General features: G+C 40.1%; 1 protein-coding gene across 7 annotated transcripts in view; it reads left to right on the top strand.

Annotated features, from left to right (window-relative positions):
* Window positions 1–25,482, top strand: part of PANK1 (pantothenate kinase 1) — a 65,748-nt gene that overhangs the window by 13,168 nt on the left and 27,098 nt on the right. For 6 of the 7 annotated variants that reach the window (NM_138316.4, NM_148978.3, XM_017016334.2 and 3 more), the window contains one exon: window positions 20,027–20,379. In NM_138316.4, the coding sequence (NP_612189.2) occupies window positions 20,027–20,379 (353 nt within the window). Of the gene's footprint in view, window positions 1–5,760; window positions 5,883–20,026; window positions 20,380–25,482 lie in introns of those variants that run through there. The other variant, XM_017016336.2, reaches the window with a different exon arrangement.

Here is a 25,482-nt window from a genome sequence, read left to right as displayed (position 1 = left end):
TTTTATAATATTGAAGCAGACCTCAGAAATCATATGTTTAGTATTAAATGTTTTTGTCTTTATTTCCAAAAGAAAAGAACCCTTTTTAAAAAAAAAAACACACACACACACACACACAATCTGTTATTTGCTGTAAAAGTTAGCAGTGTATTATATCCAGTTGAGACTATTGTGTTTTATGATGCACAATTAGATAAATTCAGTTATCTAACCACAATTAAAATTGTTACATCTCATTTGTAGGTGGATAATTGAAAACCTGATTTGTGTTGCCCCTGGAGAATCCTTTCATTTGCCCATACCTGTTATTGTTTGTTTATGATTAATTTTTTACCATTTCTTCATGGTCTGAGATTTGAAACCTCATTCTTGAAATAGTCCTGTGCCAAAAAGCTGCTTTGGAATCACCCAGTATCACTGGACTAAGAGTGATTAGTATCTCCTACATAATTTTTGTCTGGAAATATAGATTAAGAACTAAAGAACAGTATTAAAAGAATTCCACCCCTCTCCTTTCCTCTGAAGTCATTTGGATGGTGCCAGTGGGAGCAGGCAAGCTAGCTCTCCTGAAGACAATTAGGGTATAGGACTGGCCTCAGGCCTAGAAATCTGGAGTTGCTGGATTCAGGATTGAACCAAGGGTTTAAAGAAGGGGTGTTGCTAAAATTTGTAATTTCAGGCAATCTTTAGACCTAGGACTCTGTATTTTAATTTAGCCACAAGAGGAAAGAAAAAGATCCTGAATCCGTATCACTCAATTTATTAACATTCCTGGGATCAAACTAGTTAAACATCAGTGAATTTCTGTCTGTGTAAACTGCCAGAACTGGTTTACTTTTGTCAGCTTTATGAAAATGTGCTTCAGATTCATTTTATACATCGTTGCCTTCTTTGACAAGGGAGTCTCATTTAACATATTCTAATAATTTAGGGACATCATTAATATCAACTTTTATACTGGGTTGTAATACAGGAAAGTCTTAGGTAATGGTGTACAGGCATTTGGGTTTGTTCATTCATGGATATGTGTTGTGTAACAGCTATATACAGCATGTAAAAAAAAATGTTTGTTTAGAGATGCAGTTTTGCTGTGTTCCCCAGGCTAATCTCCAACTCTTGGGCTCAAGCAAACCTCCTGCCTCAGCTTCCTGAGTAGTTGAGACTACAGGGATGCGCCAGCCTATCCAGCTTGGGTGTAACTTTTAGAGGGTCCAAATGTTTAATTCAAAAATCTTAATTTTTTTTTAACTATTTAAAAGCTATAATTTACAAAGCACATTAGAGGCCGGGCGCAGTGGCTCAGGCCTGTAATTCCAGCACTTCGGAAGGCCGAGGCGGGCGGATCACGAGGTCAGGAGATCGAGACCATCCTGGCTAACACAGTGAAACTCAGTCTCTACTAAAAATACAAAAAATTAGCCGGGCGAGGTGACGGGTGCCTGTAGTCTCAGCTACTCGGGAGGCTGAGGCAGGAGAAAGGTGTGAACCCGGGAGGCAGAGCTTGCAGTACACCAAGATCGCGCCGCTGCACTCCAGCCTGGGTGACAGAGCGAGACTCCGTCTCAAAAAAAAAAACAAAAAAACTGCACATTAGAGATCACCTAATGTTTGAGGGAGTTCTCTGAGCCTCAATTTTGTAATCTGTAAAATGGGAATAATAATAGTGCCAACTTCATTGGGTTATGAGAACTGAATTAAATAATGCATGGAAAGCTGCTAGCACAGCGCCTGACACATAGTATGTCCTAAATGTTAATTGATATAATGTTGCTGCTGCTGCTGGATTAACTCATTTTTCACAGTCGTTGGAATAAACTTCTTCTGAATTCTTATAAATAAACTATTTATTGGCAAGTTTGTAGCTCTAAAGTCTTAACGTTTGGCCGGTATATATCTGTCCACATCAGATTGCATAAGATAATATATACCACTTCAGCACACGTGTACCACACTCAATTAAATTTTAGTCAAGGCTTAGACATATTTTCTTGGCAAACCCTCTCACCCTCACCCTGGCTTAGGTCAGTTACATAACAAGTAAATGGGTAACCTGTCAAGTCCTGGTAATGCTGTCTTAGAGTTTTAGCACTAATCAAAAGGTTTGGATGTTTTTTGTTTGATTTTTATATGTGTTGCAAGCAAAGTGAGTTGTTAGGTATTTTTAGTATTCAGCAAGAAGCTGAAACATTTTCAGTAAATCTTTTCAAACTACTGAATCAGTTTTGATTCAGGAAATCCCTGAGTTTGCAAGGGAAGCTGTTCAAAAGAACAGTTATGATTTGCAGCTGCTGTCTCTGAATCAAACTTTTCTTCAAATTGTGTAATCCAAATAAAGTACAGAAATAAATGGGTGAAGTTCGTGAAGCTGCAGCTATCATCCGTAAGGGACAGTTTCCAGCCTTTATGTTGAACAAGCATCACTGTTCTCATTAATTAACTTTACATTAGATGTGATGTGATTTGTAAAATGAGACAGTGCAAATAAGACGTCACTTTTATCTCTTTCATATCTGGGATTCAGAATTAAGATGGAACTTTTAAAAGTTCCAATGCTAAAGAATTTGAAAAAATCTCACTCTTCATGGTGTGGAAGAACACTATGCCCCAAAACTAAATGATCCCAGGCGAATAAAATATTTTGAATGTTCATATTTATATTTTATAAAGTTTTAATCCCTTTTCTCAGTCAGATATTACATCTAGCTGTGCCTTTGATAAAAATTATTATAGTAAAAAAAAATTCACTTGTAACTACAATGCCTGTCACTTCTAACTACAATGCCTATAACCTCAGGGGATGCCAGTGATAACCCCGAAGGCAGCTGAGCACTGGAAGGAAGCAAACACTTCTGAGCAATCAAAATCAGTGTTGGGAAGTAGATAAAGTCAGAGGTGCTCATGCATCTTACACTTGAGAGTACTTCCTGTGATCTCCCTCAGAATCTATGTACTCTTCTTTTTTAATTTTATTTTTTAAATTGACAAATAATAACTATACATGCAGTTTTAACAGACTTGCTTTCCTGGTTTCTCTGCATTCGGACACAGCAGGTTCTGGATAGATATATTGCAGTAACACTGACAGCAGTGAGAAATTAACAGCTTTAGCCCAAAAGCAAGACATAGAAAACTATAATAGAGACAAAAGAAGATTCAAACCATAGCAGCCTGGGAAGCGCATGTTTACATGATTCCTGAGGACATCAATGTACAGTGAGCACAATAATTGATTGTCATTTGACTGTGAATCATCAAGAAGACCTCAAATTTCATTCAGTCTGTTTTGTTTAAGAGTATGGAGAAGTGGGTTGTGCATTTTAGAAAGATTATCTTTAAGAACTGGTATAATTGGCATTTATGTTTTAAAAATGTATCTTGAAATGAGAAAATTAAGATATAATTCACATTCACCATGTATTTCATCCATTTAGAGTATGCAATTCTATGGTTTTTAGTGTATTCATAGAGTTGTACAACTATCACAATTAACTTTATAATATTTTATCCCCTCCCAGAAAATTATTAGCAGTCACTCCTCTTTTTCCCCCACAATCCCCAACCCTAGGCAACTAATCTATTTTCTGTCTCTAGAGTTTTGCTTATTCTGGACATTTCAAATGAGTGAAATCATATCATACGTGATCTTTTCTGATTGGCGGCTTTACTTAGCATAGTGTTTTCAGGATTCATCCATGTTGTAGTATGTATTAGTATTTTGTCCTTTTTTGTGGCCAGATAATATTTTATTGGGTGGATTTATCACATTATTTATCCATGTTCATCAGTTGATTAACATTTGGGTCGTTTCTACTTTTTGGCTATTGTGAATAATGCAGCTATAAACATTCATGTAAGGTTTTTGTGTGGACATGAGTTTTCACTTCTCTTGGGTATATACACCTAGTACTAGAATTGCTAGATCATATAGTAACTCTTTGTTTAACCTCTTGCAGAACTGCCAGTTTTCCAAAGTGACTGTACTATTTAGCATTTCCACTAGTGGTGTGAGGTTTCCTATTTCTCCACTTCCTCATAATACTTGTTTTCAATTTTTTAAAACTTGTAACCATCTTAGTGGGTTTTAAGTCGTATCTCATTGTGGTTTTGATGTGCATTTCCCTAATAGCCAATGATGTTGAGCATCTTTTCATTTGCCTGTTATGGGCCAGAGCTCTTATATCCTCCAACACTAATATCTTATTATTTTAAAACTTGTATAAGTTTTAGTCTCATATCTAGTGAAATTATAAGTTTCTTTGATGGCTAGGGAATGTCAGACTTGACTTTGTGATAGTTACTATGCTTAGGAGGGTGCCCTACATAGAGCTACCATTAGTAAATATTAAAGGATTGTTTTAATTAAGTCATGTCTGATTTTAGGACAATGTGGATTTCACTCACAGCAGAGTTTTCACTCCTTCCCAGACTGCTCTTAATTACTGACCAGTTTTTGTGTACTAGAATTTAAGTGCCAAGGGGGCTGGCTCATTGCCGCATCCTGACTGTTTAGCAGAGTGCCTCACACCGTCTAGGAACAAAATAAATACCTGTTCAATCAGTGAATGAATAAGCCTGTACGATTTTCCTTCAGTATCCATTGTATTGGTTCCAGGACCCCCATGGGTACCAAAATCCTCAGTTGCCCAAGTCCCTGTATAAAATGGCGTAGTATTTGCATGTAATCTACGCATATCATCCCATATACTTTAAATCATCTCTAGATGATTTAATACCTAATACAATACCTACACATCACTTTATTCACATGGATTCTTTATAGCACCAGCACGTGGCAAATTTAAGTTTTGCTTTTTGGAACTTCGTGGAATTTTTTTTTTTTTTTCAAATATTTTCAGTCTGCAGTTGGTTCAATCCGTGATTGGAACCACAGATATGAAGGAGTGACTGTAGTTGGTCTCAGATTATTTAAAGCAAGTGTTTATTTCAGCTTGTGTTGCCATGTGAGCAGTTGGCATACCTTTCCTCAGTCCTCTGCCCCCCAGCTCAACTTCAAAGATTTGCCAGACTTTCATAGTTAAGAAATAAATGAACAAGGCCCATTTCTGGTAGACCTGTTGTTCCGCCTGGTTATGTCACCCAGCAATGCTGTTCTCCCTGAAGCCTCTTTAATTAACCATGCTCTGGTATTAAATTGATAACAGTATCCTTAGAGTATGCAAGCACGCTCTGGTGACTTGTCAAGACAGAAAGCTAAACCTCTTGGTGGTTTAAATGGGGATTTGTTTAAGCAGGTAATAAGATTACCATCTTGAGCCTTAGTGCCGGGCATTAGAAGGTTGAAGGAGCCATTCCTGGGTGGATGCTGTGCTCAGCTCTGGTTGCTGAAATGATCACATTGGAGACAGCCACACAGATGCGTGGTGGTCATGTCCCTTGGCACACCTGCATGGTCAAAACTGTGGACTCTTCTTTTTTGTCCAGGGACTACTTCTGATGAAGAAAGTGGCATAATTAAAGCTGAGGACCTCACGCCTGTAATCCCGCCACTTTGGGAGGCTGAGGCGGGTGGATCACGAGGTCAGGAGATCGAGACCATCCTGGCTAACACGGTGAAACCCCGTCTTTACTAAAAATACAAAATATTAGCCAGGCATGGTAGTGGGTGCCTGTAGTCCCAGCTACTTGGGAGGCTGAAGCAAGAGAATGGCATTAACCTGGGAGGCGGAGCTTGCAGTGAGCCGAGATCACGCAGCTGCACTCCAGCCTGGGCGACAGAGCAAGACTCCGTCTCAAAAAAAAAAAAAAAAAAATGCTGAGGACCACACAGAAAGTTGATACTTATACTCATCTTCTATTGCCTCTAGATTGGGCAGAACTGACAGCTTCTTGGTGAGAAATAGGAGTGATGACCATAGCTGTCTGTAAGTGTATTTTCCTCCCACCTCCTCTGCACAGCGTGAGAACTTAACTGTGGAATGGGAAACAAATTTCATCTGCCTACCATTTCCTCTCCTTAACCCCTGAAGCAGAAATACACAGCTTGACTGTAGGCATGAAGGGGAGAAGGTGAGCTCACTGGTCCCTAGAGTGACGCTCATCTTTCTCTCTGATTTTCTTGTAAGGGTGACATGGAGAGGTTTCAGGACCTTGGGAAAGAAACCACTCTCACTGAGCTACTCAGGGACTTAACGAAAAGACTGAAGGAAAAAAAATTTTATTAACCTCATGGATTTGACATTTTTGGGTCTCCTCATCTCTAGCTTCATCTTATTCCTGCTTCCTCCTGGCCCAGATCCAAGCTAAGAATACACTTCATGGTGCTACCAGAATGACATGGCTTCCTTTGCCCCTGCAAGAGCTTTTTTTTTTTCTTTTTTTTTATCTTAACCTACAAAATAAAATAAAAGCAACAGAGCTTTCATGTTGGTGTTTCTATTTGTTGTTCTAATTTCACATGGTTGTCTGTGTCAAGGTCAGCCGCGTGGGTTGCAAATCAAAGAATGTCTGTCTGCGTGACCTAAATACATGAGTACTGTTGCTAGAGCTAACCTCTTTATGGAGGAATGTATGCTTACTTTTAAGATGGCAGTCAGGGGGAGAGAGGAGCCCATCTAGGGAATTTAATTATATGTGGAATGTTTCTAAACCACAGCCATGGGGTTTAGTCATGGCTGGATAATACCTAGTACTTCAAAAGCTGCATTTAAAATTTGAAAATCACCTATTACACTCATGTTATAAATTGCCAATAAATAATTTCATTAACAAGCAATTAGATGTGTCTGGGAATGGCAACACCTGCCAGTTGGTGGCTGTGCATTGCCCTCAGCTGTCTGCCTCAGAGTTCTGTGCTCAGTTTCAAGCAAGAGCCACTCCTACAAACTCCAGTTTCTCACTTTTAAAACATAGTCCAAGCTGGCCGTGGTGGCTCATGCCTGTAATTCCAGCACTTTGGGAGGCTGAGGAGGAGAATCTCTTGAGCCCAGGAGTTCAAGGCCAGCCTGGGCAACATGGCTAAACCCCATCTCTACCAAAAAATGTAAAAATTAGCCAGAAGTGGTAGAGTGCACACTTATAGTCCTAGCTACTCAGGATACTGAGGTGGGAGGATCACTTGAGCCTGGGAAGTTGAGGCTGCAGTGAGCTGTGATGACACCACTACACTCCAGCCTGGGCAACAGTGAGGCCCCATCTCAAGAAAACAAAGAAATGTAGTCCAGCTACTTACAGTATTCATTTTGATTCAACTAGAATAGTAGTTCTGAACTTGACTAGTGAGAATTACAGGGACCCCTTGTTGAAAACATTTTCTGGGACGTGACTCCTATCCCACTGAATCAGAATCTCTAGGTGATGTCCTGGGAGTCTGTATTTTTAACAAGTGCCTTAGGTGATTTTTATGATTAGGCAAATTTGAGAAACCATGTTGTTAAATGTGGCCAGTCACTAAAAAAAATAAATATAACTAAAACTTTGACTTTAAAATTTAGTTGCACTAAATAGTAAAATTTAAGTTGCTTTATGGAAATGTGATTGTAAACAAGTCACAGAGACCAGGTTCACATTGCAAATGCAAAGTGGATGGTGGTATGGTATCATGTCAGTTTTAACCTGAAGATGGGTGTAGAGCAAAATGTAGAGGATACCTTTTATGGGCCTAGGTACTTTTGCCTTCATGGGCCCCCTTCCTCCATAAAAAATAAATAAAAGTTATATTTTATTATTGTTGGTGTAAAGATGAATGTATTAATATTATATAGTAAATTGTATTTTCCTTAACCTAAATGTTCATATATTTTCTTCTGATTTTAAAATAAATTATTTTCATGGGTGCCTAAAAGTATGGCAGGTCCTAGCCACTGTGCCTCTTGCACCTAACAGATGGGTTAACCCCGAGCAGCAGAGGTGATGAAATTCAGACTTGAGTCTCTATGTGACTCCGGTGATAATACTTCTACATGCCTCAGAAGTTCTGAAAGGAATTCTTGCTGTTCTCTTTTTCCCTCTCAAATATTAGAATATGATCAGCCCGTGTCTGGGCGAGAGGAGAAAGCTGATAGGAATCTGGGGCTGTGCCAGTGGAAGAAAGATTATTGTCACACAAGGTTGTGACAGTACACTGTCCCACAGCGATTCCATCCCACAAACATACATGTGTCCTCTTCAGCGTATTTTCAATTGCTAAGTTTAACATACAGTTTTTGCCCTGGCCGTGGTGCAGGTGAGTGAATCAGCCTCTTCCCACCCTGAGGGAACCCTTGTGGTATCAAGCGTCTAACAGGCTGAATAACTTTGCTCTTGGGAGTTGGGCTTACTCCTGCCATTCTTGATGGCTTGCGTTCAGTGGATTTTGATAATTGGTTTGATATGGGCAGGCTGTTGCATGAGAAGAGAAGGAACTGTTGTTGAGTTAGGGAATGAAAGCATATTATTTTCTATGGGCAGGACCACAGACCTGCTATCTGTTCACTGAAGCAAAGTTAAAATAATTTCATTTTCTTTTGCATCATTACAGAGAAGTTTTTAAGAATTTAAAAATAGCTCTGATTATGAAGTTCAAGTGTGTTGATTATTTAAAAAAAAAAAAATTGGGCCAGGCACGGTGGCTCATGCCTGTAATCCAGCATTTTGGGAGGCCAGGATGGGAGAATCGCGAGGTCAGAAGATCGAGACCATCCTGGCTAACATGGTGAAACCTCGTCTCCACTAAAAATACAAAAAAAAATTAGCCAGGCATGGTGGTGGGTGCCTGTAGTCCCAGCTACTCGGGAGGCTAAGGCAGGAGAATGGCGTTAACCCAGGAGGCGGAGCTTGCAGTGAGCCGAGATTGCGCCACTGCACTCCAGCCTGGGCCACAGAGCAAGTCTGCATCTCAAAAACAAAAACAAAACAAAACAAAAAAATAAGAAAAGTGTCAGAAAAGCCAGAGGAAGAAAAAAACATCACCCCAATCCATGATCCAGCTATTAACATTTTGGCCTAAAGTTTCTAGTTTTGTGTGTGTGTGTCCAAATAGCCATTTAATTTTTAGACAAAATTATAACCGCCTGAAATGTACCATTTAATCCCTGCCCTTTTCACCTAACGATAGATAATGAACATTTGTCTCACATCATTAAATGATGTCCTACAAAGTGATTTTAATGGTTAAATTAAATCACTTTGTGTTAATGAATAATTATTTGATTATTTGTTTAATTAGCCCTCTGTTGTTGTACAATAAATTAGTTTTCTTATTATAAATACAACTTCAATGTTTTAAGTTTTTTTTTTTTTTGGAATGGAGTCTCGCTCTGTCACCCAGGCTAGATTGCAGTGGCACGACCTCAGCTCACTGCAAGCTCCGCCTCCCAGGTTCACACCATTCTCCTGCCTCAGCCTCCTGAGTAGCTGGGATTACAGGCACCAGCCACCATGCCCGGCAAATGTTTTTTGTATTTTTAGTAGAGACGGGGTTTCACCATGTTGGCCAGGCTGGTCTCAATCTCCTGACCTCGTGATCCGCCCACCTCGGCCTCCTAAAGTGCTGGGATTACAGGCATGAGCAACCACGTCTGGCCTATTTTAAGTATTTTTTTAAAGCTAAATTTTTGGATGCACACATAATTTCTTTTAGGGTAAAATAGAACCAACATATCAAAGGGTATAGGAATCTGGAGCTTTTTAATATGTATTTCCAAATAAACCCATAGAAAGATTATACCAGTTTACATTCCCAGTGGTAGCATATGAGCTTGTACCCTTGCCAACACTGGGTAATTACCTTATAACTAAAATTCAAACTAAGGAAATCTGGTACACATTAATTTGAAAGAACCCATGACTCAAATTTCTTTTCATAGAGTAATGTTCAACAGATTGCTCTGTGTGTGATAATTATGGGTTTCTTTACAGTATTAGGGAAACACTTTTATTAAATTTTATATTCACTACTTTCTTCAAGGTCCTTAAATAGTCATTAAGTTTTCAACTGTGTTTCATGCTATTAAAAGTATGGTTTTGGAGGTCTTTGCATATGATTATTTAGGATGATAGAATGTGAGAACTAGACAGAACTTTAGTGATAGGTTAATCTACCTCCATTTAAAGACTAGTAAATGGGCCAGATGCAGCGGCTCATGCCTGTAATCCCAGCACTTTGGGAGGCCAAGGCAGGTGGATCACTTGAGGTCAGGAGTTCAAGACCAGTCTGGCCAACATGGCAAAATCCCGTCTCTACTAAAACTACAAAAATTAGCAAGGCGTGGTGACACACCCCTGTAATCCCAGCTACTCAGGAGGCTGAGACAGGAGAATTGCTTGAATACAGGAGGTTGAGGTTGCAGTGAGCCGAGATTGTGCCACTGCACTCTAGCCTGAGCAGCAGAGTGAGGCTCCATCCCCCTAAAAGTAAAAATAAAGACAAGTAAATAGCTCAAGTAAGAAACTTGCCCACACAAATTCTGACTGTTGGGACATTCTCGGTTGTAAGCAACAGACACCTCACCTCAGACCAGCCTACCAAAATGGGGATTTATTGGTTCATGAAACTGAAAATGGGCTCAGATACCTATTGTGACTAACCTTGGACAATTCCTTGATCTTTCTAAGTCTTGGTTTTCTTATTTGTAAACAGGATGTTAGACTCAACCTAACGTTCCTTCCACCTCTTAACATTAAATGTTTCTGTGAATATATTATCAAATAATTTTGTTATACTATCAACCAAATTTGTACATTGTGAAAGGAAGGTTAGTTCTCAGAGACAGGAAATTTTTAAAGAGATAATTCATTACACAATTGGATTTAACAAGGATTTTTTTTTTTTTTATGAGACAGAGTTTGTGCTCTTATTGCCCAGGCTGGAGTGCAATGGCACGATCTCGGCTCACTGCAACCTCCACCTCCCGGGTTCAAGCAATTCTCCTGCCTCAGCCTCCTGTGTAGCTAGGATTACAGGCATGTGCCACAACACCAGGCTAATTTTGTATTTTTAGTAGAGACAGGGTTTCTCAGTGTTGGTCAGGTTGGTCTCGAACTTCTGACCTCAGATGATCCACCCATCTCAGCCTCCCAAAGTGCTGGGATTACAGGCGTGAACCACCGCACCCGGCCTTAACAAGGAATTTTTTAAAACTTGTGGACGTCCTTAGGCAACTTGAACATAATTAATATTCATTTGGTGTAAAATATCTTTGAAGTGTATCGGGGAAACCAGCCCCAATATTTCAATGTAAGTTCTTTTCTGTTTTCCCTAAGTGTTGGCCGGTCTGAGAAATAAAGAGAAAGAGTACAAAGAGACAAATTTTACAGCTGGGCCTCTGGCAGTGACATCACATATTGGCAGGTTCTGTGATGCCCCCTGAGCTACAAAACCAGCAAGTTTTTATTAGGGGTTTCAAAAGGGGAAGGGGGTACGAACAGGGAGTAATTCACAAAGATCACATGCTTGAAAGGGCAATAAAAGATCACAAGGGCAGAGAGGCAAAGCAAGATCACAAGGCCAGGGCGAAATTAGAATTACTGATGAGGTTCCATGTCCTGCTGGGCATGCATTGTCATTGGTAAACATCTTAACAGGAAATAGGGTTCGAGAGCAGACAACAGGTCTGACTAGAATTCGCCAGGCTGGAATTTCCTAATCCTAGCAAGCCTGAGGGCGCTGCAGGAGACCACGGTGTATTTCATCCCTTATCTTCAACTGCATAAGGCAGACACTCCCAGAGCGGCCATTTTAGAGACCTCCCCCTGGGAATGCATTCCTTTCCCAGGGTTATTCCTTGCTGGGAAAATAATTCAGTGATATTTCTCCTATTTGCTTTCTGCAAGAAGAGAAATATGACTCTGTTCTGCCCAGCCCTGCAGGCAGTTTGGCCTTACGGTTATCTCCCTTGTTCCCTGAAAATCGCTGTTATCCTGTTCCTTTTTAGGATGTCCAGATTTCATATTGTTCAAACACACATGTTTTATAAACAATTTGTGCAGTTAACGCAATCAACACAGGGTCCTGAGGGGATATACATCCTCAGTTTACGAAGATGACGAGATTAAGAGATTAAAGACGCATAGGAAATTATAAGAGTATTGATTGGGGAAGTGATAAATGTCCATGAAATCTTCACAATTTATGTTCAGAGATTGCAGTAAAGACAAGCATAAGAAATTATAAAAGTACTAATTTCAGGAACTAATAAATGTCCATGAAATCTTCCCAATTTATGTTCTTCTGCTGCAGGGTCCCTCCATTCAGGGTCCCTGACTTCCCGCAACAGAAGTGTTTAAAGCTTTTTTTCTGTTGCTCACATGATCTTTAAACATTTTCCCCCTTGTTGATTTGCTTAACAAATCTTTACAAATATTGGAAAAAGAAATTTCAGTCCTGCTGCACCCTATTCATAGTAATTACACCTAACTCCAACTTGGTAGAACCTTGAGAGAATTGTTACTCTCCATGGCAGCAACTGGCTGCTGAGTCAGATCCATGCCCACAGAAGCTCATCTTGAGCCCTTGGGTGCCTGATTTACATTCAGGAAGACATTGGCATTAGGGAATCTCACCAGGAACACTCGCCAGGAACACTTGTGCCTCACCAGGAACACTTCTTAAGGCTCTGCAGCTGGTTATAGAGAAACTCAGATTTTACATTTAGTTTATACTGTGAAATCAAGAGGAGGTTGATTTTCTCATGCCATGCTCCCTTAGCTTTTTAAAATTGTTTCCTCGATTGATAGAAAATCTTTTCAGTTTTTTTCACCTCATGTCTTTGCTCATTTAGGCTATTTGGAGTTCACTGTGTATACTTGATAGCTACTGCAGGAAGCCTAAATGACCCCCAGAGAGTATTCTAGAATTCTGAAAAAGCCTTCAAGAAATAGGCTTTGTTTAAAACATCAACTGCCAATAAAGTTTTAAAATGTTTTTGCCACAATATTTGAAATGCAGATTTATTTCAGTTTTAACTACTACCAGATAGACAATCTTGGTTTGTATTTTAAGAAATTTTTAGACAGAAATAAATATAACAGGACCTATATACCTTTTTAACACTCAGCTACCACATGTTTGTCTGTGATCATGACAGTTCCTATATATAGTTCTGCTAGAGAGGGAATTTTTCCAGCTTTAAAAACCGCGAAGGATTTTGATTTAGGGGTATATTAGTCAGCATAGGCAAGGTTATTCTGTAGTAACAAATAACCCTCAAATCTCTCTGGCTTAAAACAACAAAAGTTTATTTCTTACAACACAAGTTCATTGAAAGGTGGCTGGAAGCTCCATTCTGATTCATCTTTACTTTGAGACCCAGGTGATAGAACAATTGTCTTAATTTTTGCTGGTTAAGGTAACAGAAAGAATCTGGAAGGGTCTCACACTAGCCAAGTATTCTCATTCTAGGCAAGTATTCTTGCCTGAAAGTGACGTACACCATTTCCATTCACAACTTACCAGCCAGGTTAGGAACATTGCCCAGCTCAAGTATAAAATGGCCAAGAGTTGCATTCTGACCCCATGGGCCTGGAAGAAAGAGACCAGAAATATTTGGCCAGCTGCACTAGTGACACAGGTTGCTCTTCTGGTTACCGGATATTTGTCTCACTCTCCCTCTTACAGGCAAAATACATTCATTCCTTCCCCAAAGGAGACTGCCCCAAAGTCTCACCCAGCACAGTATCTGGATGATGCCTAATTTAGGCTGTTACTCAGGTGATGATATAAAGTCATTTCTACATCAACTCTGGATGTGGTTCCTCTTGATCTAGAGACTTCTGAACTAAAAGTGGCAAGTTATCTGCTCTTCATCACCACCCCCCCACACATTGTATATTAGTATATAATGGTGAAACAAAGATTGGAAAACTTAATCTATACTCCCATTCAGAAAGGGGGTGAATGGGAGATACCCAGCAGTCACTGGTGCTCAGTCATTCTAAAATGCTGAAGCAATTCTGAAATCCCTCTGGGCCCCCTGCCTTGTAGGTGGAGAAGGGTCCTTTAGGGTCCTGATTCTTCTCCCTGGAAGAGCCTTCCCAGTCCATTGTTCTCTTCAGCCCTTGGCTCCACCCCTTGAGAGATATCTTTTATTTCCTAGTAGACTCTCTGATTGCATCTAAAGTGAACACTGAGAATATGCCTGCGTTGGAGCCTGAACAGCCTTCTCAGCTGCTTCCTGACTTTAGAGAGTTGAGGGCTCCAGAGGTTTTTTAGGTCTTGAACAGTTTTCCCAGCTGTTTTAGGTGTGAGATTGCAGTTTCTTTGGCAGTACAATTATTTTTCAAAAGAAAATCGGTTTCTCATCTATTTTATTCCAATTTATTTCCATATACCAAGAATTAAGCCCTCAATTCCTTCTAGGCATACTTGTATTTGCTTATTCCTTTGTATTTGTGCTTCCATGCCTTTATTTATTAATGGCTTTGTTGAGACTGCTACAAGTTTAGCATGTTTTCCCTTAAGCTATTCTAATTGAAAGATTTAACCAAGAAGCCACAGTGTCAACTGTATCTTTATTGGAGACATCTTAACCCTTTCAGAGTGTTAACAGTGGGTGTGGTAGCCATTCTATTTGTTGGGAAGGAGAAGCAGCTGCTTTTTCCAGCCATACAAGTGCAACTTAATGGACTCTATTCCCTTTTCTTTAATCTATAAACCAGAGAGAGCTCATCTCTCTCTTTTTTCATTACACCTTTTAAAATGCAGTCAATAGTAATGAATACATGCTACTAACATTAGACTTTCAAAGTCTTTCACTAGATCTGCTCATTCTTTAGGTGTATTATCTGCCTTCCAAGTTATCATACATGATCATTTTACCAAATGCTGTGCCAGTCTCCAGAATCCATTTCTTCACTCCCTGCTGCCTGGCTTCTAAGCCACTGCCACATTTTGTTGTTGTGCAGCAGCACTTCACTTTATCAGTTGGAATAGGCCAGGTTCTTTTGCAGTAACAAGCAACATCTTTTGCAGTAACAAACAACATCCAAATCTCAATGGTTGAAAAGAACAAAGGTTTCTTTTGTGCTTATGCTCTATGTTCATTGTGGGTTACCTGGAATGCTTCCCATCACCATAGCAGAGGGAAAGCTCTGGAGGGTCTCATGCCTGTAATTAAATGCCCTGTCCTGGAAGTAACAATGTATCTATCACCTTTTTCAACCCTAAAGTTTTCCTTCAACATTGTTTTTCAGTTCCTATCCAGTAAGATACTCTTTTTTTGAGATGGAGTCTCACTGTGTCCCCCAGGCTGGAGTGCAGTGGAGTGATCTCGGCTCACTGCAACCTCCGCCTCCTGAGTTCAAGCGATTCTCCTTCCTCAGCCTCCCAAGTAGCTGGAACTACAGGTGCCCACCAGCACGCCTGGCCAATTTTCGTATTTTTAGTAGAGATAGGGTTTCACTATGATGGCCAGGCTGGTCTCGAACTCCTGACATCAAAATCCGCCTGCCTGGGCCTCCCAAAGTGCTGGGATTACAGGCGTGAACCACCGCGCCTGTCTTTTTTTTTTAAGAGATGGATTTTCGCTTTGCTGCCCAGGCCAGAGTGCAGCAACTATTCACAGGCATAGTCGTAGTACACTACAACCTTGACCTCCTGAGTTCAAGAGATTCTCCTGCCTCAGCTGCTTCAGAATCTGGGACTACAGGCAAACAGCTCTAAAATGCCTTTTGAGGCATATAAATATAATTGATTCTCATAACTGTGTAGCATTCTATCATATAAATCTGTCATATTTTATTTACATATGGATGAACATCTAGTTTGTTACCATTTTTTATTATTACAAATCACTGCAGTGAACATTTTTGTGTATGTCTCCTCATGCAATGTATAGAAATTTATCTAGGAATTCCTTTTATTCTTTAAAACTTGTTGCTCAAAGATGGATGTACAGCCATTTTATCTGTAGCACTTGGTTTTATGAACATCAGTTTCACCAGAGTGAAAACCATTTTGAATGAGTGGGTCAGTTTATTTGTTTGCAAAAGTCTTCCTGTGAAGTTTGAGCCTGGTTTCCTGCTGTACGTTGTTGATGAATACTCTAGAAATATTTTAAAATGACATCTGGTTTAAGGAGGAGTAAGGGGTGAATACAGACTTCCTGTACCTAAAACCAACATCACTCCTCTTGGCAAACACAGAATAAGCTCTTATTAGTAGTTCAACTGAATTGATCAAAGCATCTGGGTATGCTGGAGTAAAGAAAACATGAGTCATGGATCATAGCTGCACTAGGATGTTCTTCCTTCCCCTTCTCTTCTGTCTCCATCCACAGCTTGTGCATGGGAAGCTTAGGTTTAGGCAGATCTTGATATCAGGAAGATGAATAAAATTGTACATTTAATATAAGACAGTGTACTGAAAAAGCAATAAATGTGACTAGAAGAGCATTAGATTTTTCATGGAGGTAAGATATAAACATAGGTAAAGAAAAGCCAATTTCTTTTGCCACTTAAACTAATACTGTAGTTCCTTTGAGAAGCTGAGGTGGGTGGATCACTTGAGTCCAGGAGTTCGAGACCAGCTTGGGCAACGTGGTGAAACCCCAGAGATAAGATAATTCTTATCTCTCCTACCTTAACCCAAACTAATGATATAACATTTAGCTGAAATTTCAAAACTCTATACTTTTTCCAATTGTTCTGTTGAGTTGCCAAGAAAAACTTTGAAATGGCTTCAGAAAGAGCAGGAGATGAAGCAGGAGGAAGGAACCAGGGTTCTGAATAACAAAAAATCTTCAGGCGTCACCTACAGTGTTTTTAAAAGTGAGACCTCTTTTCAGTTACCTGTATTTACCAACATCCAACCACATAAAAGGTTATGTGCAGGCTCTTCCTTCCAGAAATCTGATAGCAGCTGTACCTGGGTGAATTCTGCATTTCTGGTACAGAACTAGATTGTTTTCTGGGGTTTACGTAGCTTGTTTGGGTCTTGTTGTGCGGAAGTATCTCCTATTTTCCATTATTATGTAATTCTTATTTTTTTATTATCTGCTTTTACTGAAAGCTCTAAGTGTAGAATTTTCTCCATCCCTTTTCCTGGATCTCTAGCCACCAACTATACAACCTGCTCATTCTGCCACTCCTGTAAATATTAACAACTGGGGGCCTTCTATGCTTTTCTACAGGCTCATATAATCATGAACATATTAGAAATTGTGCTTCCTACCTTTCTTCTCTTCTCCCTTCCTTCCTTCTTCCTTCCTTCCTCCCTTCCTCTCCCTAAACCAAATAGGCTTAAAAAGTTGTTTACACTTCTAGGCATTTCTTGCTTTTCTTATTAACAGAAGATTGGGGAAATATTTCTAGCCTGCTGGAATACATTTCACTCTTTTTTTTTTGAGATAGGGGGTCTCACTCTGTCACCCAGGCTGGAGTGCAGTGGTGCAATCTCGGCTCGCTGCAACCTCTGCCTCCCTGGATCATGTGATCCTCCCACCTCAGCCTCTCAAGTAGCTGGGACTACAGGCGTGCACCACCACACCTGGCTAATTTTTGTATTTTGGTAGAGATGGGGTTTCGTCATGTTGCCCAGGCTGGTCTCAAACTCCTGGACTCAAGCGATCTGCCTGCCTCAGCCTCCCAAAGTGCTAGGATTACAGGTGTGAGCCACCACACCTGGCCTCACTCTCTTTTTAATAGCTGCCTAATATTCTACAGTTTGGAAGTCATCCATTTTATTGGACAGTTTTCCTGTTAAAGGGCACTCATCTTGTTTCCAATTTGCCTTGGTTTTGTTTTTGTTTTTTGATTTGAGCATGGTAAAAGATGCTGCGGTGAACATTCTTATGCCTATCCTGGAATACTTGTGCTTTTTTTATGGCCCAGGAAAGGGCTTTGCTGAGTTAAAAATGCATGTGTACTTTCAATTGTAATAGATGTTGTCAAAATATTTCCCAGCAATGTTCCAAAATACCCTTCTCCCATCCTATCCAGTGTAGGCATCTTCGCCTCTCTGATGAGAATGGATGGCAACTGCAGCACTGGTTGCATAGCCCAGGCACTTGTTAACATGCCATAGTATATTTCCAGGGAGTTTAAAACTCCACTGAAAAAGACTCTGGTCAGACTTTATGATTGGGGTTACTTGCAATTTTTCTTTTGTATTTCTTAAGGAATTCATGGAAAGTTGATAGTAGGGAAGAAATTCGAGATAATTTTAATGCAACCCATTCCTTTTACAGATAAGGAAATTAAAATCCAAAGAGGTAGAAGGAGCTACAGTGAGCTACTTACTGTCTGCTGCTTCAGGGAAGCAGATGTTCCGAATCCCAGTCTGGGGCTTTACCTATTACAACATGCTGCTCCTACACTGTGGCCCATGCTGACAGTGAGTTTTAGAGAATAAACCAACAGACTTCATCTGTGATCTGAATCAACAAATGAGGATGACCAGTTTCCAGTTTTTTCATCTCCTGCTAGGACAAGCGAGTTTCCCAACCTACACTGGTTGCAGAATTTGCTTTGTAAACGTCTGCAAAGAAAACAAGACATTTGTTAACTTGGTCTTGTCAGTGAAATTTGTTGCTCTTAATCTTTTGAGGGCCTGGAATTTTATTTCTATAATGCTAGAGTTCCTGCTCAACAAGTGAGAAGCAGCTATCTTGGGTCATAACCAAAATAACAATAGTGAGGCAGAGGAAAGAAGATTTTGTTTACAGAAATGGTTTCCTGCTAGGCACTCCTCCCTCAGCCCTCCTGAATTGAAAGCTAAGTACTAGTAGGGGTGCCTAGAAAAAAGACCTTCTGCAGGGCCCACTGATGTTTCTGGCAGTGTGGACAATTTGACAAGGGTTCATATTGATGTTCTCTAGGGCTGAAATAAAAGAAACTTGGAAGGAAGCCATTTTTGCACCCTGAGTCTTTAAATTCAGTTTTAATATTACAGTTTTGGGTTTTGCCAATGGATTCTGTGAGGGAAATAAAAAGGAAGACTCTAACCTTTGGGTTCCCATTTGGGTTTGCTCTGTGTTCATTGCAGAGCATTTGACAGCATGGCATTAACTTTCCAGGCTGTCTCTAAATAAAGTCAGACTGTTTAGGTAGCTCACCTCTGCTCTTTTCAGCTCTTAACAATAAAGAGCTTATATAACTAAAAAAATCATCATGATGGAGATTCATTTTGTCATAGATAAGCATCACAAGCACATTAAGTATACTTTCACCTAGAGGCATGCCTTTGTGTTTCAGACCTGGCCATGGTTCCTCTGGTTTAGTAGTTTCCAAGCCTGCAGATTGCAACCACTAGGGAACTTTTAAAAGATATTCATGTCTGGATGCCATGCCTGAATTAAACAGAATATGTGCGAGAGGAGGCCAGAAATTGAATATTAAAAGCTTCTCAGCTGATTCTAAAAGGCAGCCGGATTGAGAACTTCTGAGCAGGCTATTTGGAATAGAGAGGATGTCTCTGTTTAATGCAGAAATAAATTAGATATAATGCGAGTTGTTCTTTTTAGAATTTCATGTCTGCTCATCATCTCTCATAGTCTACTTCCTCTCTCTTTCCCCTTTCTATACACTGTATAGATTAAAACAGTGGAATCACATCTTCTAAAGTCAGTTCATAAAGCAAAAATGGAATCATTGAAATGCGCCCTAGGTTAGAGACCGACATACCATCTCTTGGTACACCCAGCATGGTCAGTTTTTCCTCTAGGATTGAAGCAGATCCGTTTCTTTGGTAAAGATTCTGACAAAAATAGTTAGCAATTGGGATCCAGGATGTATGCAAAAATATATATATCTATCTTTAAATATTAGTATAACACTCAGCTTGGTGAGATACTTGAGCCCTAGGAAGCACACAGGAATTGAGACTGCCTTAGGGAACTGCAGAATCCTATTTCTCATCTCACTCAATTCTGAGTGGAGTGCAGTGGTGTGTGAGCAGAGCCTTGGGCACTCTTTTGATTGTAAAATTTTCTCTGTCTGTGCCACCTTTTAGGCACATATAGTTGAATTCAAATAAATTGAATGTTAAATGCACATGTAGATATGATACCACTGCTTTTGCTTATTTAATATTCAAAAACTGAACACTTCTTTGCACGCATAGCATTCAGCAGCACTCTTTCTTTCTGTCCTTTAGCATTCCCATGGTTTGGCATGGACATCGGTGGAACGCTGGTTAAATTGGTGTATTTCGAGCCGAAGGATATTACAGCCGAAGAGGAGCAAGAGGAAGTGGAGAACCTGAAGAGCATCCGGAAGTATTTGACTTCTAATACTGCTTATGGGAAAACTGGGATCCGAGACGTCCACCTGGAACTGAAAAACCTGACCATGTGTGGACGCAAAGGGAACCTGCACTTCATCCGCTTTCCCAGCTGTGCTATGCACAGGTTCATTCAGATGGGCAGCGAGAAGAACTTCTCTAGCCTTCACACCACCCTCTGTGCCACAGGAGGCGGGGCTTTCAAATTCGAAGAGGACTTCAGAATGGTAGGTCGGGTTTGTCTTTGTTAAAACATCAAAACCTCTCACATGTCCATAATCATGGCCACTCATACCGAAGAACCATACTACTAGCCTTGGGACTCTGGACAAGCTTATGTCACCGCTCTGTGCCTCAGTTTTCTCACCTATACAAGAATAAAAACAGCTTCTACCTCATAGGGTTGTTACATGTAGGATTAAATGAGATAATATGTACCTGGCACTTAGTAAGTGCTCAATATAGTTATCATCATCATTTCAATTACAATTATTGCTGGGTAATACGCTAAAGACAAGATGCTAAAATCCCTTCTGAAGTATTTCAGTTAGAATTGACCACAGACTTTTACTATATAATCGTGATGCCAACTTTATGCATATATAAACAGAGACCCATGGGAAGGCTTCTATGAATCCTACCAAAAATGATTACTTCTATCTACCCATTTGCTCTCAAGTGCCTTTTTTCAGCATATGAATGCCATTCAGAAGTTTTGCTCACAAACAAAAATGAAATCTGTAATATTACTTATCAGTGAATTCCTTCATTAATGAATACCATTTAGGGAGTATAATTTTATATAGTAAGGATAATGCTGTATCCTGACTGGCAGTACTTACAAACTGTACGTTGCTCATTTAGATTTAACAAATGAAGCTAAATGGAAGATACGGATAAGTAACATGCAGTCCAATGTTTCTCTCTTTTTTTTTTAGCATTCCCTTAACATCTGTGCATTCCAATTTCTTCATTTTCTACAGTCAATATAATAATCTCTGTACTGTGTAGTCTTCATTTTATAAAGTGAGAAGAAAGTGAAACAATAGATGTAGATATATCTTGGAAAGGAAGGGAAGCTAGATAAACAAAAGTGATTGAACATGGAAGAAGGAAGGGTTGGGAGATTTTAGGATTAGTTTTACTAGAAAGTTGAACATATAGTGAGGTAAGTCATAAAATACGTATTCTCAAAGCCTGTAGTACAAATTACTGCCATTTTGTGCAGAACTAACATAATCCAGTCTTGCTATAAAGTCTGTCATTAATGAATACATTAATCAATCAGTGCACATTCATGGTATTTAATAAAGCTATAAATGCAAATTTTACTTGTGCCATCAAAAGTAACCCCATTTACCTCATTGATTATAGTAAGTTTCTGTAAGGGCAGGCAACAGAGTCCTAGAATAGTATCCTAAGTGAGACTAATTATCTTCAGTTTTTGTTTTTTTTTTTCTTCTATGTCCCCTCCTATTACCCAGCAGTAGAGTTTGACTTGCCACTTACTTAAATGACCCACAGAATCCTTTTCTCACCAAAGAGGCTCATGATCAAAGAGTTTTAAAACTGAGATGTTTGAGATCCATGGGCTTGAGAACTAAGTTTCAGTCCATAATGGAAAAACCATTGAACCTGAACTCCAGTCCTGTTTCTACATTTCATCAGCTGGGTGACTAGGCAAGACCTGTCCCTTCTCTGGGCCTCATTTTGTCATCTGCAAAGAGGTGGGAGTAAGACTTCAGAACTGAAAGTGACCTCTGGAGGTGAGAAAGTATAGCCTTCTTGTGCTACGTAGATAAGAAACTAAAGCTGCCAGAGAGATCAAAAGCTTCTAGCAGTGTCACCTAGGTAAGAGCTGGGACTTGGACTCAATTCTGATTCAGAAGGAAATGCTGATCCACTCTCATTGCTCTGAGCTCCTCAGGTCCCTCAAGGATGCCCTATCTGTCCATTTCCACTGGAGAGCCTGAAGTGAACCAAGGTGACCCAGAGGATTGATGCAACCTCTGTCAATGCCTCCATCTCTCCCCTGGGGTAACGTATACCCTGGGAGAAAGTTACTCAATATGTGTTGGCCATGAGCAGGTGTATTTCTCAAGGTTCTAAGTTGAGAAAAGTCACATCTCATTACAACCAAGATAAAGAAGCCTTTCCTCCTTTGGACAGGCTTTTGAAGCCTAATGAATAGACTGGAGTAGGGAGCAAGTATGTAACATTTGCTAAATAGTCTGGCCAGGTTGGGCATCCATCTGTGAAAGAAGAGTCTATGAACTGCCTTCTGTATCCAGGCTGAGTCTCAGCCAAAGTGAAGACAGAATTGAAACAGATAGATCTTTTCCTATAGCCCATTTGATGTTATGTTAGTGATGTGCCTGAGTCTTTCCAAAGTTATGAGGATGAATAGGTGTTATCCTCCTTCCTAAGCATTCATTCACTCACTCAGGCACTTTCAGTGCACCAAGTACTGTTATGAACAAAATAAATCCCCTGCTCACCATGAGCTTGTATTCTAGTGGGGGAAGACAATCAATAATCAATTTAAAAAGTGAATATAGAGTCAGGCGAAAGTGGCTCACACCTGTAATCCCAGCACTTTGGAAGGTTGAGGCGGGTGGATTGCTTGAGGCCAGGGGTTTGAACCAGCCTGGCCAACATGGTGTAACCCTGTCTCTACTAAAAATACAAAAATAAGCCAGGTGAGGTGGCGCACGCCTGTAATCCCAGCTACTCAGGAGGCTGAGGCACGAGAACCTCTTGAACCCAGGAGATCAAGGTTACAGTGAGCCGAGATCGTGCCATTGCACTCCAGCCTGGGTGACAGAGTAAGACTCTGTCTCAAAAAAGAAAGTGAATATGGAATATATCAGATGGTGATAATTACTATGAATGGAGGGAAAAAACCAGGGCAAAGAAGATAGGGAGTGCTGGCAGGGTCTTTGTGTGACTAGGCAATGTTGGAGCAGAGACCTGAAGAAGACAGCAAATCATGCAAAGAAAGAGTGTGTTAGGCAGATGGAGCAGTGAGTGCTAAGGCCCTTAGTGTCCTAATAATCCAAGCTCTCCTCATTTCTAGAATAGAAAATCGAAGATGCTAACTTAATTGTAAAGGATCAATATATACTACTGTACGTATTAAAACAATTTGACAAATCATACAGAAGTACATCTACATACCTATAAAGTCCTGTTATTGTTATTGTATAAAATCACTGTTTTTGGTATAACACAACTTTGCAGATAGGAGTTTGAAAAATCCATCTGTGTGATTTATTTGAGCGATTAGGGCTAGGTAAAAGATGTACAACAGACCCCGAATAGTAAGCACTTGTTATATTTGAATAGTATTTTTAAAAAATATATAGTATATGTACTTGAATCCTTAGATAATGTAACTATTCTTCATTCCATTTAAAATGTACAAGAAAGAACTATAAACCATGACACAATCATTAAATTAGACCTGTGTAGAATACTCTCAGTTGAACAGGTCTGCACTTTGTTCCTCCTTTTTCTTTCCTTCTTTTTTTCTTCCCACCATCCCTCCCCTCCTTCTTTCCTTTCTTGTTTTCTTTTTTAACATTTTAGGATTGGCCAGACGCGGTGGCTCACGCCTGTAATCCCAGCACTTTGGGGGGCCGAGGTGGGTGGATCACGAGGTCAGGAGATCGAGACCATCCTGGCTAACACGGTGAAACCCCGCCTCTACTAAAAATACAAAAAATCAGCCGGGCGTGGTCGCGGGCGCCTGTAGTCCCAGCTGCTTGGGAGGCTGAGGCAGGAGAATGGCGTGAACCCAGGAGGCAGAGCTTGCAGTAAGCTGAGATGGCAACACTGCACTCCAGCCGGGGCGACGAGGCCAGACTCCACCTCAAAAAAAAAAAAAAAAAAAGTTTAGGATCATTGTCATAACCAAATTTTTGACTGGCAAAAACTAGCCTTCAAAATCAATGAGTTATCAAAATGGAACACAGAAGAAAAACTTAGCCTAACTTCAAATAGACTAAGATGTTGATAAGCCAATGAGGAACTCCCACCATTTAAAAAGTGGCTTTCAAGATGGAGAACTCTGCATGGCTGTGCACCAAGGCTCTGTAGGTTTCAGTGAATTTTGTGTTTATTCCCAGTGTCTATATTCTGTGGGTTTTGTTTTAAATAACCAAGCAGAATATTTTATGTACAGATTCTAGTATTTTTATTCCCAACCACACTTCCTAACTTCAACAACCGTATTCTCAAGAATGCAAGGTATTTTTAACATCAGAAAATTTATTTTTAAAAAGTCATTAATTCTGCCCATATAGCTTTTCATTGCAATACAGGCATACCTTGTTGTATTGCATTTTTTACAGATTGAAGGTTTGTGTTAACCCTGCATTGAGCAAGTCTATTGGCACCACTTTTCCAATGGCTTGTACGCACATTTCTCTGTGTCACATGTAGGTAATTCTTGCTGTATTTCAAACTTTTTAATTATTATTGTATCTGTTATGGTGATCTGTGATCAGTGATGTCACTATTGTAATTGTTTTGGGGCACCCACCACATTATGCCCATATAAGATGGCAAACTTAATTGATAAATGTTGTGTGTTCTGACTGCTCCATTGACAGGCTGTCCCCCCATCTCTCTCCCTACCTCAGGCCTCCCTATTCCCTGAGACACAGCAATATTGAAATTAGGCCAATTAATAGTACTACTGTTGGTCTAATTGGCCTCTAAATATTCAAGTCAAAGGAAGAGTCCCATGTCCCACACTTTAAATCAAAAGCTAGAAATCATTACGCTTAGTGAGAAAGGCATGGTGAAAACCGAGACAGACCAAAGCCTAGGCCTCTTGTGCCATATGGTTAGCCAAGCTGTGAATGCAAAGGAAAAGTTCTTGAAGGAAATTAAAAGTGCTACTCCAGTGAACACACAAATAATAAGAGAGAAAAACAGATTTATGGCTGATACAGACTTTTAGTCATCTGGATTAAAGATCAAACCAGCCACAACATTCCCTTAAGCCAAAGTCTAATCCAGAGCAAGGCCCTAACTCTTCAATTCTCTAGAGTCTGAGAGAGGGGAGGAAGCTGCAGAAGAAAAGTTGAAAGGTAGGCGGGGTCCTGTGGCTCATGCCTGTAATCCCATCACTTTGGGAGGCTAAGGTGGGTGGATCGCTTGAACCCAGTAGTTCAAGACCCACCTGGGCAACATGGTAAAACCCTGTCTCTACACAAAATACAAAAATTAGCCAGATGTGGTGGTGCACCCCTATAGTCCCAGTGACTCAGGAGGCTGAGATGGGAGGATCGCTTGAGCCCAGGAGGCAGAGGTTGCAGTGAGCT

The sequence above is a fragment of the Homo sapiens genome, chromosome 10, assembly GCF_000001405.40.
Source record: "Homo sapiens chromosome 10, GRCh38.p14 Primary Assembly".
Taxonomy (NCBI): domain Eukaryota; kingdom Metazoa; phylum Chordata; class Mammalia; order Primates; family Hominidae; genus Homo; species Homo sapiens.
Note: the sequence above shows the minus strand (reverse complement) of the source record. Positions and strands in the feature narration are given on the sequence as shown.